The following is a 15,585-nucleotide window of genomic DNA, read 5'->3' on the forward strand; positions in this document are numbered from 1 at the left end:
TTACTTCCCCTTGAAAGACCTCGCTGGGAATATTTGCATTGTCAGCAGCTTAAATTGACCACAGAGATAATAACTAAATAATTTAGAAAACCGTAAGATGATTTAGGCATTTAAGATGTGTATAAGGTAATTAAAACCAAACTTTCGGAGGGGTAAGACCTCACTGTAGTTGGTTATTCTATAGCTGGGGTCACTGCCTAAGTTGTATGAAGGCATATGTTCAATTTACAGTTGTAATGAGGAACATGGGGTGTTTTGATCCTTCATTTGTTGTGCTGATCTCTAGAGGATGCAATTGCCTGTATTAAACAATGAACATGGACTCTTTTGTGGCGGATAATAAAAATGTGTAAGATAATACGTGCCACGTGCATGTATGTTTGGCATGTGGCTTTTCTCTGTTTATGGAATTGTTGCCCTTTGTTGCTATCATGGAACAGGCTCATGGAAATGTTCATTATTAGCCACTTAGGAACAAGACCAATTCGTTTGACCTCATTAGTTTGATCATGATTATTCCATTTTAACTAATACATGGTATTTATGAAGGTGTTTTCCAAAGATTATTCACTTGCAAGGGCATTTTGTGTTTTATTTTACTATTCTGCAAAAAGACAAATAGATAAAGTTTAGGTGATAAAGTTTTCTTTTGTCACATGTTGAATGTAGTAAAAGACAAAGCAGGTTTTTTTCTGTTTTTTTTTTATTTTACACTTAAACAATGAATGACATCAGGGTTTCAGATTTTTTCTATATGTCGATACACTTGAAAATACTAGCACATACTCTTGGGATAAACTGAAAGAAACATTTATAACATCATATTGTGATACAGGTTGAAGTAGGAGGACCAGCTTTTTATTCAGTGAAAACTTGCATTCATCCCAATATAAAGTTTGCAAAACCACAGTGAGCCTAGCTATATCCAGGGCCCTACTCTTGGCTTAAAACAAAACAATGCAAATGTAATCTTTCAATGGTAAAGAACATATGAAAGAGAATGATCTTAAAACCTCTCTAACTTGGACAAACAAACAGGTGAAGAATAATTGGAATTGGTGGGAAATATAGGAATAGAAAATGTTTTTATGTCACAGCTTCATTTAATAAGATGTAGCAAACAACCATTTGGTTTTTGCACCTGCAGCACTGCTGTCTCCTTGGTGTACTCTTCTTCACTAGTTGCGGTTGTGTGGGCTGCCAAAATCTTCACCTTGCCTCTCTGTGGTCATGTCACTGAAGATTGGTCAATCACAATTCCCAAATCTCTTATACTGATTGGTCTAGAGGTTGGTATGTTATCCAAACCTGGCCAATAAGAGTTATATCTAGGATGTTTACCTTTTTGGATCTTGTAGTAAAGGAGTTTGGGGTTTTGGGTTTTGGAGTAGGAAAGAAGTAGACTAGAAGCAATCTGGCCTAACCAAATAAAACCAATGAAGGGTAACAGAAAATGAATGTCTGAGAAGAAGCAGATCTTCGTTACTTCATTTCTAAGTACTCATAGAACTCAGAGTTCCTTTTTCTCCTGAGCATCCTTCAAAGATATTCCTCTTCCTTTTTATTTTTTTTTCAGTTTAAGTTGGAAAAGTCCTGCTTCATGAAATAAACAAGAACTCTTAATCAATATGGTATCTGTTTGCATGTATATGTCCTACTTCTAATGTACTAGACATCTTCTCTTAAATATTTTAAGCTACATATATAACTTTATTTAGACAAAGTTTGGACCAGCTGAACCCTTCAGTAATATGAAAAAGGTAAATTTTACTTCACTGAATAATCACAAACCTTGAATTGGCAGCATCCAAATTATTAGAACTGTGCAGCATTAATGCTGATCTATGTAAATTGGGTTCATAAACTTGCTTGGGCCCTGGAAGCAACTTGCATTATTATGTATTTTTTCTCTCTAATTTTCAAATCAAATTCATTGGTCATTCATCCCCTTGAAATCAGATTCTGCAGCCACCTGGCTTTCCTCCAAAAGTCTTCCATTGTTTCATAAGCCATCCTCGTTTCCAATTCATTTTTCTTTATCCACTGTGTAAATTAGGTGGACCTGAATATTTAGAAAAGATTGAAAGCATTTGGTTGTTATTAGAGTAAAGATAGCTAACTCACACATGTGAAACATTAGAGAAAACTTACAAATGTTTGAGTAATTTTTTTTTCTGTTGTTGTTGTTTGGGGCTGTGGGGCATTTAACCACATCCTGCCATGCACACACTTGAGCTTCTCTCTTTATTACCAGGTAGAGTTTCTGACTAATAAAACAAACAAGGACAATATTTTAATTTTCTTTTCCCAACATTTTTATTGTTTTTATTTAAATGTAACATACTATACACTGTTCAGCCTTTTGCGAGTTAGGAGGAGGGAGTGATTCTATATCTTTATGAGGAGTATTCTCAGAACCAAAACTCAAATGGACACATATTTGTGGCTGATGCACTTTAACTTTGTGGGCCTGGGACCATACTCCTACAGAGGCAGATCTCTCAATAGCTCCAATTTTTTTTTTTTTCAAATCTACAACATTCAGGGCTGAAACTGCTTTTTTTTTTCTTCAGTAGTTGCAAAAGGGACCAGAATTCTATTTCCATTTCAAGCAAATATGCCACTTTTAAATGCAAGAGAATGTCATTACTCCTTACCAAACAATCTTTCTTTCTCTCTCCTTCCTTCCCTCCCTTCTTTCCTTCCTTCCTTCTTTCCTTGCTTCCTTCCTTCCTTCCTTCCTTCCTTCCTTCCTTCCTTCCTTCCTTCCTGTCTTTCTGTCTTTTCTCTCTTTCTTTTCTCTTTTCTCTCTTTCCTTTCTTTCTGGCTCTTTTTCACCCAGGCTGGAGTGCAATGGCAAGATTATAGCTCACTGCAGCCTCAAACTCCTGGGCCCAAGAGATCCTTCCGTTTCAGCCTCCTGAGTAGTTGGGACCACAGGTATATGCCACCACGCATGGCTACATTTGTTTTGTTTTGTTTTGTTTAAGAGAAGGATGTCTCACTAGGTTTCTCAGGCCTGTCTAGAACTCCTGGACTCAAGCCATCTTCCCACAGTCTCCCAAACTGCTGGGATTACAGGTGTGAGCTACTGCACCAGGCAGGTTTTTTGTCTTTCTGTGAGGGAAATGTGGGAGAGACAGGGAGATGTTTTCTATTTTTGGCCTCTGCAAGCTTTAATATATTTTGCTAGAAGCTGTTTTAGTGTCTTGAGTACTATAATGATGACTGTTTACACATAGTCTCTTTAGTAATCTAAATGTCTATGTGAAATAAGAATCCAGTTTGTGCCCTGTTTGCTGTTACTGTGGTCATCCAATGTGTATTTGTCTTACCAAACATTTAATTTTGGTTGTGGGTGGTCTATGTTTATGTGTCAGGTGCAATTATTATTTTAAAATAAAGGAAAAAAAGATACCTAGTTTTGATAGGAATGCATTACATTATAGCTCACAGACTGAGTTACCAATTAAATTTTAACATCCAGATTCCAACCACAAAAATTAAACATTTTTATAATCTCATTTGCCAAAAAGCAAGTTGGAAGCAAAGTATGATGAAATGCAATTTAAACTATAAGCCAAAAGACAGTGCCTCAAATGTGTTTCTTCTGAAATACAGTTTTTTTGAAGAATGGGAAAAATATGACCTTTTATGGGATTATACAAAAAATTTCTTAATAAAGCAATTTTTAAAAATAACAGATTAACTGGAAGTGCTGGTTAAGTATTGACACAAATAAGTTTGTTGGAGAATCACAGAACGCCAGCATTTCCAAAGGTTAAACTTTAGTAAGACACATTTAGTGAGTCTTTTTTTTTGTACCAAAATACTGTGTCCAAACAATAAAATGCTTTTTCAAAACAAGAAATATGAAGATAAAACTGCAGCATCAATATACTATTATAGTTATTGCTTAAAAGTATTTAGAACAAATAGTATTTTTCTACATTTTTAAAATCACTACAGACACTGCAAATAAGGCTTATGTATTTATTTAGTGGAATACAATGTGATGATGATTGGTAAACTCTTATGTACTCTTTTCTATACCTGCTCTAACAAAATGAATTTTGATATGGTTACATTATGGAACTTTGTAAAGCTCTTTAAATTTACAGAAAACAAGTTTTATTTGGTTTTGTAAAGACTAGATCATACAGCTAGAACAGGTTTTTGTATATGGTTACACATATACCAGTATATATTTGATTTGCTCAGTTTAAGCCCCTGGGAGAGTTGCGCTTCATACCAAATTCTTTGATAGTTCCTTTGGGAAAGATGCATTATGTGGAATTTACAGAGGGTTTTTAGAGATGTGGACAGCCTCTTTACCGCCATGACATTTGGCAAGAAATCATGAGTAAATAATGAGGCTAGGCTATTTAAATGTATTTAGCAATTAATTTTCCTTTTTTTAGTATATTCTTGGAGGCAAACTGATGTATTGAAAGAGAAGAATTTGGCCTTCTGGTCTATTTCTTGAGACAGGAAGCCTCGAGAGTAATATATGTTTTCAAATGATAGCAGACATCTCTCACTCAAGCCATGGCACAGCATTGCCATATTTATTGTTGATGGTTATTACTGCAGAAGTGCAAATTAAGTCAACTGATAGCACACGGGCACTCATACTGCTTCCCTAATCCCAACTCCTATTTTTGAAGTGTTCGCCAAGTTTTAAAAACACTTTGTCGTGAACATGCATGTGGTGTGCTGAATAAAAAGAAAAGATAAATCAGAAGACAGCTGCTGAGATACTCTTTAAAACCCCAAAAGATATTTAACATCCTATTAAATAAATAACTTAGAAAGAAATAGAAAGGGATGAAGGCAGAATGCACAAGCATACCATACTATTTGTATTGTTAGAACAGTTTCACACTAACATGTTTATATTTTTAAATTCTATTCAATTATTCCATGAGACCACATCCAGAACTCCTTTGGTTGTGCATATGATATGACCCAAGTGCTTTCCAGTAAATGCTTGCATGTATTACTGTTCATTGATTCATTAGGCTTGAATGAGCAATGAAGTCTTTGATATGAGTTCGTATTCCATAAATAACTTTCCCGAAGATCGTTCTTTCAACAGATTGTTCTATGTCCTTTAAGTTCTATCTCAGAGGTTTAAAAACAAAAACTTGACAACAACAACAAAAAACCCAGCCACAATGTTTTTCACTTGGGAATAACTTCTATCCCATTCGATCTGCCTATATCTTGATTATAAGACATGACACAGAACTAATTAAAAGAACATCATATGTCAGCAGTGAATACAAAAACCTTCAAAGGCTGGCTTTCTTTTAAGCAAGCAGACATCTGCAACGTGTCTTTGCCTTTCAATCTACTGTCTTCATGAAGAATATCCACTATTCTTGGCAAAAGAGCCATTGGTTCTACTGCATCCACAAACGTTGCCTTCCTCTATGAGTGTACCACCATTGGAAGAAAGTGAGCAGAGGTGTTTTTCCTTCGTGTTTTCTGTCCTCTCCTTGGAGCTCCTTTTCCATTCAATGCCACATACATTTGCCTCCCATTATGCTGCCAGTTAAATGATGCATAGGTATTGTATCCATTTTCCTCTATCCTCTCCTTCAGCTTACAGTCATTGTTAAATTCTTTCTGCAAAGGAAAAACAGAATCTTTTATTCCTATGGTGATTGTACTTGATTTCATTTGATACAAGCCATCCAGAGAACTCCAGTCCAAGGATTCTGTTTGTAGTTGCCATTTGTACCTAAGTTGTGCACTTAATACATAATGTCAACAATAGAAAAGTAAATCTCAGAACCACAAAACACATTCTGTTTGAAAGCACATGATACATTTTAATTGATCATCATAGCCACTTTTTGAAAGCCCTTTTAAAAAGCTGATGTGCTTTGAATATTATATGGTTTAAGTGCCTAGAGTGATTGTCAAGAAGTAGACATCTCACTAACAATATTTGTGATGAGTCAGTAATAAAGAATAGTGTTATAATGCTTCTTTTACAGTAATAACCAGGGGCCCCATGGGAAAAAATAGAACTGAAGGAAAGATATGGGCTTGTCAAGTTTGCAAACTTTACCTACAAATCCATAATAAATACACACACACATTCATAAGAAAGCAGAGCTTATAGCAAAACCACAATAGTTCTGCATAACCAAAAGGGGGGGATGTCTTTCTTCCAAATATCAAATTTCTTAATTTAATGAAATTATTTGCAATATTCTATAGCTTGGAATTTTGACAGATTTTGCTCGTGAACTCTAGGGATTGAAAACTAGGACATGGAATTCCTCGTTTTGTGAACTACTATGTTGAAGAAATTATGAGCATGGTGAATAGCAATGCCTACATTGTATCTTAAGGACTTGGATCCTGGGAAGTTCCATCCCATAGCCATAGAGCTTTGGTTTTGTTCAGGAGGCCAATTGGATTTAAGGAGACATTCCTGGACAAGGCTTCGCTCTCACTCACTCCACAAATCCAGGTTCTTACTCTGGAGTTAATAACAAAGAGGAAGTAGCTCAATGATCTCAAGACTCTGGCTTTAGAAGTAGCCTCCGCAGTGCCTCACGCCTGTAATCCCAGCACTTTGGGAGGCTGAGGCAGGCGAATCACAAGGTCAGGAGTTCAAGACCAGCCTGGCCAACATGGTGAAACCCCGTCTATACTAAAAATAGAAAAAATTAGCCAGGCGTATTGGTGGGCGCCTGTAATCTCAGCTACTCGGCAGGCTGAGGCAGGAGAGTAGTTTGAAGCTGGGATGCGGAGGTTGCAGTGAGCCGAGATCATTCCACTGCACTGCAGCCTGGGCAACAGAACGAGACTCCGTCTCAAAACAAAACAAAACAAAAACAAACAGAAAAAGAGAAGTAGCTTCTTTTCTTATACTCAAACTAAAGTAGTTAAGAAGCTAAGGAATTGGAGCACTTGCCCTCTGGTTCTATCTTCTTCATCCAAAGCAAGGGCCCCGTGGGCATAGTTCAGTTGAGGACTGTACTTGGCAGTTTCTCTCACCTTGAGACTTTTTGAAATTTCTACAAAATTCCAAATTCCTGAAAATGTATATGTTTATATACCTAGGTGTCTGTAGGATTTATCACAGTTTAGAACATTATCAGAACCATAAGAAGCAGATGTATTCTATGTTAATGCTACCAGCTCAAGTTATCTGTCCTGAAATTTTTTAGTCTTAAATGCTTCTCTTCTATAAAGTAATATTTAAATATAACATTCAAATGATGATTTAACTGGCTGAAAGTAAGAAGGAAAGGTAAATTATTTAAGGTAAGGATTTTGATAAAACAAAAATAATTCTGTATTTGAAAGGAATATAAATCCTTAGTGTGGATTTACTTTTATTCTCTTTATCTCAGTCTGTCTAAAACTATATACTTTTCAAAGCAGAGTAATTTTTAAAATATGGATAATTATGTTCATTTCAATCAATAAATGGGGTACAGTTTAGAGACTAATGAAGGACTGAGATTGTTTGAGGTGATTTCATATTTCAGATGAAGCTAGGTATACAAAAGTGGGAGTGTATGCTTAATGTTAATTTTCCTCCCCAAAATTAATTTATAGAGTAATGTTTCTTAAATTGAAGTGCACATGTATCAGCCTTTTTATTTCAGATGTTTTAAATATTTGGGCCAAAGGTACCAAATCTCTAGAGGAGGGGCCTCAAAATATATGTTGTTGACAGGATCTAAGCAAATCATAAGCAGTTATGTATAAAAAGAAAATTCAGGCTACAGCAAGGACTCAAAAGCAGGGTTCAGGGAGTTTTTTTAAAAGAAGTTTGGATTTTTTCCAGCTACCTGAAAATTTTCTTTGGTCCTTAAATCATGCTCTATGAAGACCTATTCTATTTAATTCAGTTTTATACTTTATTTACTGAATCCCATCAGTCAGGAGAAAACTCAAAATACAATAGATAAATTGCTTAGAGAATGAATAATGAAAATATAAGAAAGGTATACAGTTTCCAAAAAGGAATAGAGGAAGATAATTCAAGAGAATAGATATAAAACTGGTTTAATCAGTCAGTCTGAATCTTTGCCCAAGTCAGATTTTTAGGAGGGCTTACGGAATTGATGGATACTGTATGAAACAAAAAATGAAGGTAGGAATTACAAGAGTTGTCACCTAATATACAGAATTATATTAGATATGCACTTATAAATTTTGATGTTAGTTCTATTCCACTCTGAGCAGAATATTGAACTTGAATAAATTTTTCGTTTAATTTGAACAAACCATAATTTTTCATTATTCCTAGTAGAAATGTAAAGTTACACAAAAAAGAATGTTATGGTTAGAGAATGAGTTTCTTTCTGAGACAGGCTGGAAGTGGAAAGTATGTTCTGTAATTGGCTGAGCTTCTACCAGAGGTTAGGTTTATGCAGTGTATAACTGTGCTCTGTATGGTTCTAAGTGCTGAACAAATAGTGGGGGACAAGACTGACCTCACTCTCTCCAAGGTCACAATCTATTGGGAGAAGACAGTGAACAACAAACACATTAATGAGAGAAATCTCAGATAAGTGCCACTGCAGATAATAGAAAGCCACCGGACTCTACTTTAAATAAAGAATTTGAATGAAATAATTCACAGAGCTTAGAGCTCAAGATGAAGCATAAGCACAGTCCATGAGCTGTGTTGGGGCAGAAGAAAAAAAGAGGAGAAATGTGAAGAAAAGTATTAAATATTTTTATGTCAGAGTTTATTTGAAAGTTATCCATTTCTCCTTGATGTCATGTTTTTAAATAAGTATATTTTATCAATTAAAAGTATTTAAAATCTTTTATATTCATTAAAATTATTTACATTTTCTTCCTTAATCTAAATTAGTGTTAGCTGGCTTTAGGACGTTGGGTCTAGACTAAGTATGTGTGTTGTTATCTCTTCAAAGAATATGTACCTGGTTCTCTTCCCCAATAATTCTGATATAGTAGATCAAGGAAGAACCTGGACATGTTTAATGAAAACATTAAACATGCCTCAAAAGAGATTATGATGTGAACCCCTAAATGGAACCACTTTTTATAATGGTCTGTTATTCCTCTGGGTTCATTAGGGGAGCAATGGTAATGGAGAAATTTTACTAAAATTCCTCTGACCCCCATGCAAAAAAAAGCATTTGCCCTAGTCCCAGGGACCAACTCAAAGCATGCCTGACTCCCCAGTTAAAAGTGGACCTGATATTAGTAAAATACAAGGCTACTCTACATCCAGACCAGCGGTTCTCAAATTGTGGTTACTGCACCAGCAGCATCAGGAACACCTGGGACCATGTGAGAAATGGAAATTGAACTGCACCACAGACTTATTGAATCAGAAAATATGGCTGTGGGTCCCATTATTCTGTCTTTTAATAAGCCCTTCCACTGATTCTGATGCATACTCAAGTTTAAGAGCTGCTGGTTCTAAATGGTCACTAAATGGTTCTAAATGGTTCTCTCAGCCTTATGCTAATCAACAAAGTAAGTTTATTTACAAATTTAAAGTGAAATTCCTTTTTGATTACATAAAAATGTAAAAATGACACAGGATCTGTTTACAAAAGTAAAAATTATTTAAAAGATTTGTGTCACAGGTTTTATTTCTGGCCATATATAATATTACATGTCCTCCAAAAAATTAAATTAAAATTTTTCCAAGTTTATAGTTGCCTTCAATACACTCCCCTTCAGTAGAATCCAGAGAAAAAAATGAAATTCAGTTAGCATCCCCTTGATCTGTCTCTGGGAGGGACACAATAAGATGGATCCACATGCACAAACTAATATACTCCTGTCATCATTCAAATGACAGCTAAGAGATTGAAACCTAGTTCCCAACTTTATTATAGGGCTGCTTTGCTATAGCTGATCCTTTCATACATGTAACAACCAATCATGCTGTAATTATTTCATATTTGTTAACATTTCCCCTAAATATATTATAAATTATTTGAAGTCAAGGCCCATTTCTATACTTCTTTCTTATGCATCTTTGATATGTCAAACAATATCTGGCATATAGTAGATGTTGATATGATTGATTGATGCATTTTTTTCTAAGGACTTGAGCAGGATAAATTGTCTCACTGCTTGTAATTTAATTATTATTACAATTGCAATTATAAAACAACTATTTGGCATTTTAAGTGAGATCTTAAATTTCTAAGAAATTGGTTTAAAAGAGTTTGATCCAAGATTGCAGAAGTGGTATTCCAAATACTTAACACCTGGTATGGAATATAGGCATGGATGTGCCCAAAGCACTGCAGGGATACCTGCTCCACAAGGACCCTATTGCAAAGAATATTTCCCACATATATATATATGATTTTGAGGCATAATTTGAATTAAAGGTTATTGTCTAGGTAAATAAAATTCTAGAGTTGATTGAACAACAAGCAAAATGGTGTTTCTTGACACATTTCCCCATTTCAGATTTTAACAAAATGCAAAACATCTGAGCCCTTGTTTCATCTTCAGCCGTAACGCATATATAATACATGGGTTTCTACTCAATTCAAGATCTTTGTTTTTAGTGTTTTTTCTCCAAGTTGTCTTCATTTTCCATGCCAATCTGACCGGATGCTTCCGTGAGAGCCTGACTTGGTTAGCAGTTTAGAACATTCACAGACAAATGCCAGCAGCAGCCTGTGTGGTAGACTAATGGGTGAACAACAGAGGAGATTACAGAATTGGAAGAGCTGCTTTGCCAGCCCTTGAAACAGTGGTGACTAACCCACTGTGGCTCTATTTACTAGCAATAGAAGGATAACAAAGCTATTCGGTGTCTGGAGGAAACTTTCCAAAACTATGGTAATGGTTTACTGGAGTGGATTTGAAAACAAAAGCAGAATACTTACTGAGCCATAGAGTTTCCCCTTCTTGTTCATGGCTAAGTAATAGTTGCTGTTAATGGCTTTGACGGCAACAACTCCGATTTCTACTGATGTTATCTCCAGGATGCCTAAAACATACAATTTTAAAAGGCTAAATAAAGAATCCTAAATATATTTGGAAGAAAAGTAAAATCAAAAGAAACTATTGAGTTGTTTTTTGTGTGGTTCTAAAAACAAAAGGCACAAAACATTGGTAAACAAACAAGCAAACAAGCAAATCTTTTTCAATGTGTCTTAAAACCCGGCAAGTATTTCCAGCAAATATATAGAAAAAAGTAATAAGGCTTTAAAAGAATTCCCCTTCATTTTACTCTGAGCATACATAGAAAATATTGTTTTAATTAAAATGCTTCCTTTGCTAACTCTGCATTTTCAACCCTATAAATATTGAAACAACTCTACTCATCTTAGCCTAGATTTCAAAATAACTTATCAGAGCCCATATCTGTACTATGGTATTAAATTAAATCTGTAGCACATGTCAATAATATGCCAGATTACCTCAATCTCTAAAAACAGTGATAAACTATTTCTTCTTGCTAGGATATAGATAATCTAAATCTCTTGGCTACATTTAACTGATAGATTCATTTTTGGCAAATGTGTTGACATTCTGAGATACAGGGAGACTAATCCCAACATCTGCACTGTCCCTGAAATAGCAGAATTACTGCTCTGTGTTGGGGGAAAATCCATAAACATGGATTTTTAAGGTTTTTTTTTTTCCTAGGAAAAATGGAAAATCGAGGGAAGTAGTAAGAGGTAGACAAGAGCTCCTTTTCCCCTTATACACAAGTTTCGATTGCTGCATCTAAAGATAATTTTCTCGGAAAAGTTTGTAGATCACAATAGGGAAGTCAGTTTATCGTCTACTAAAAGTGCCCACCCATTTTAGTTTAAGAAGACCTAGGGAACTAAAACTACTTATTTCATAACTCTCAGCAGTTTGTTCAGGGTAGAGAAGTAGCATCGTGATTAGCATGTGGCCTCTGGAGCCAAAATGTCTGGGTTCAACTCCTGGCTCTACATTTATTAGTGAATTACCATAGGAGAAGTCACTGAAGTGTCCCATGACTCAATTTTATTTGCAAAATGGGCAACATAATAGTACCTCCCTCATAATTTTGTTGTGAATATTAAATGAGATAGTACCTATAAAATTATTAGAATTTGCCTGGAGCTTAGTATCTTCTTAATTATCATCAGAGGGTAGTTTTTCTCCAACAGTGCTAGATTTTGGAAATTCTTCAATGGGCTATGTAAATCCTGAACAATACATACAAATTCCCATTGGCTTAATACATGAAATCTGAAAGTTGAGCATATTATCATTTGTCATGTATCATGAGAAACACCATCCCCAATGCAGTCTACAGATTATATGTTTTCACTCTTCCCATAGAGATAGAGTGGCTTAGCTTATTCTCGAGAGATGAATACCTTCTTTCCTATTCCTTCACAGGTTAGCCTTATGGAGGCCAATAGAAATGCTTGAGTTTCCCCTGTTGCCAAGTTGACATAACCAGAGACTTTGCCAAGACTACATGTCAGAGACCCTTCTGTCCATGTATCTGTAGGAAGTCTCTGACCTAACACAGCACTCCTTTTCATCAAAAGAGATATATCTCACTCTATTTGCAAGCCAAAACCAAGGAAAGATTGTGAAGGATGAAGGAGACATTATTTGTGTTTTTTTACATCCATTTCCCTTATGCTGGTAGTTTCCCTAAGGTACACACACACACACACACACACGCACATTTATTTGCATATTCTGAAAAATATTTTCTTAATTCACACAATAGCCCTCTAAGGATACTGTTGTTAGTCTCGATTACAAATATAAAAACGGAAGATACTTAGGTTATTTAACTCACACACACACAGGTGGTAAGGTGATAAAGGTCGGTAATAATGGATGTTAACACTTAAGCCTCTGACTTTTAGACTCTATTGCTCCCCATCTCTGACTACTTTGCCTCTCCATCACATCTTCCTCCTCTTTCCCATTCCTACAAGGGAACCCTGTTGCAAACCATCTGACAAAATGACTCATCAAGATAATTTTCTTTAATGACTTAATGTGCTGTTCCTCCCAAGGATGATGGCATGCCATAGAGGATAACGTCTGAATCTTAGAGAACAAAATCTAACATACTTTATTTATGTCATAAGCAGAAGATACAGAGCAGAGCAGGAGGTAGAATTCAGGGGCAAAAGATTAGGCAGCTGCTTACATTGTCTGGCCAAAAGACAAGAAAGTACTGTCAGTAAACTGCAAGATATTCTCTTATGTATACTTTTGAAACTGAAAATTAATAGAACAAAGAGGAATGAAGGATGATTTTAAGCAAAAAATAAACCAATATTTGTGAAGGTGCATGCAACGTCCTGGGATTAAACTATACTAACAGACTGAGCTATAGTAATAGTATAAGATACAACTGAATTTTTGACCCGTTATTTCTGAGGATGAACTGCAAGTGGTATTGTAGATTATATTTAGCTTAGATACCCCTTTGTTTCTTTCTGCTTTACCTGAAATGGGAGCACAATATTCAAAGACTCAATCAACCATTTTTTTTCCACTTTGCAACTAGTTTAGGCAAGCTTAAAAAGGTTTAGCTATTATTTTTATATTATTATTTAGTTATTGTTTCAAAATAGAGGGAAGACATAGGTGATTTAATATCCTTTCGAATTTTGAAAATAATTTTGGGACGCAGCGTATGGTCAGGTAAGTTATAATTTGATCATCTTGTGAGTAATGGACAATGACTGCACCTATTATAAACATCTGTGAATGTGAAAGGGGAGTTCTGAAGGACTGAAGCCTAGAGGACTTCTTTACTTTTTGTAAGGAATCACTCCAGTTTTTCTGTTCTTTGGTGAGGATGATCAAGTTTGCCTATCAAATTATTTTTGGAAAGGAGCTCCAGAATTTTGTTTGAGGATTGTTGGATCAGTAGCTTATAGTTCTATATGTGTATATTTTGAATCAAAACTAAATGCCAGTTAAAAGAGCCTCCTGGAGGAAAGTGAGTTAAGGGCATACTGGATCTCCCCGTGTTTCTTACAAGTTTATGACTCTACAATTACCTTAACATTAAAAGCTATAAAAAAAGGTTTTTTTTTTTTTAACTCAAAGAAACACCTGAAAATTATATTATTAATGAAAGGACACATGAATTATATTTCCCATTCATGTAAAACAGATATTTTGTAAATTTATAGGCATATTCTTGTAGTGAAATTCTATTATTTATATTAAGTTGTAACTATATTAGTTTTTATGTCCCTTAAAACATGAATAGCCCAGGTAGTATTGTGAATCTATTTAAGGGTCTTTGGACAATTTAGTTCAATCACTTAGGAAGACCTAGGAGGAGAAGGGTACGCTTTTAGAAAATGAAAATATAAAGTCAAATACGTAATGGCTTTTCTATTGATAAGTCTATGTACTATTGGGAATAAAAGACAAACACAGATAATTACAATAAAACATGTTACATGGCAGTAAGTGATGACTTAAGATGATGACAAGGGGACTATGGGGCAAAGGTAAAGGCAGGTCATACTGGCTGGGGTTCCACGATCAAATTATTGTTGGAGATGAGACCTGAACTGAGTCATGAAGGTTAAGAAGTGTCCAGGGGAAGGCTGGGAAGGGTGGGAAGGCAAGAGCAAATTATTAAGGTAAAACAGTATGGTGTTTTCAAATATCATAAGAGGTTTGATTTACCAACTGGAGTACAAGGAACAAGTCAGGAAGCTGGGAAAAGTGAAGTTGGGAGATAATGAGACTCAGTTTAGTAAACATCTTGTGCAGATTCTAAGAATTTTGGCAACTAGGAAGGATTTTGTCTACAAATATAAAATTGTTTAAAGAATACATTAGAAATAAAGTAATATTTAGCAAATTTCTTCAGTAAATAGTAGCAATCTATAAAGCTTATTTTAGATTATATTTAAAATCTTAAAAAATAAAGTTTGATAGTCAACATTACAAAAGCGATTATGACAAAAATCAGTTCATATTACTTTGCGAATGTTCCCTCATGATGCATCATCACCTTAGTAATGGAGAAAATTTTGTGACTTGATAATCTCTGAGTGGAAATAACTTAGAAGTCACAATTTTCGTGTAAATGCATTTTTTTCTTTTAATACTCATATATATAATTGTTTGGGCTGGTAATGTTTTGATGAGTGACTAAATAGTTAATCTGAGAAGGTGGCCATTCACAAGCATCTTTCCCAGCTGCTGCTTCTCATTCTTCTCCAGAAGAGGAGCATCTGACCTATTGTCCCCCTAGCAATCATGTTGGACAAAGGCTTCTTCTGTTTTGGTGCTATTAGAATGAAAAAGCTATTGGTCTGGAGGGTAAGTTTCTCACTAAATATTTTTCCATAAACACAAAAGGAGAAAGTATATGGCAAATAAAACTTGTATTTAATAGAATGGATATAGACAAGGAAAACTAGATGTGAAAAATAAGTGCAAAATCCTTCTATCCACTCCTAGATAAATAGAACATAAATATACAATGGAATTCTATAGACTGAGTAAATTAATTCAGCTAATGTGTATTAAGCACCAGTGTGCAGGGTAGGTGTTAGCTCTCATTCTGAAGGTTACAAAGGCAAACAAGATGTGGTCCTTGCCTCAAGGAGTTTTAAAGCT

General features: G+C 35.1%; 1 protein-coding gene across 2 annotated transcripts in view; it reads right to left on the reverse strand.

Moving 5' to 3' along the window:
- Positions 1 to 685: 685 nt before the first annotated feature.
- FGF10 (fibroblast growth factor 10) overlaps positions 686 to 15,585 on the reverse strand; it is an 89,174-nt gene continuing 74,274 nt past the window's right edge. For both annotated transcript variants that reach the window (XM_005248264.5, NM_004465.2), the window contains 2 exons: positions 10,866 to 10,969; positions 686 to 5,631 (listed from right to left, as the gene is read on the reverse strand). In XM_005248264.5, coding sequence (XP_005248321.1) covers positions 5,434 to 5,631; positions 10,866 to 10,969 — 302 coding nt within the window. In that variant the 3' untranslated portion in view covers positions 686 to 5,433. The remainder of the gene's footprint in view (positions 5,632 to 10,865; positions 10,970 to 15,585) is intronic.

The sequence above is a fragment of the Homo sapiens genome, chromosome 5 (assembly GCF_000001405.40).
Source record: "Homo sapiens chromosome 5, GRCh38.p14 Primary Assembly".
NCBI classification, from domain to species: domain Eukaryota; kingdom Metazoa; phylum Chordata; class Mammalia; order Primates; family Hominidae; genus Homo; species Homo sapiens.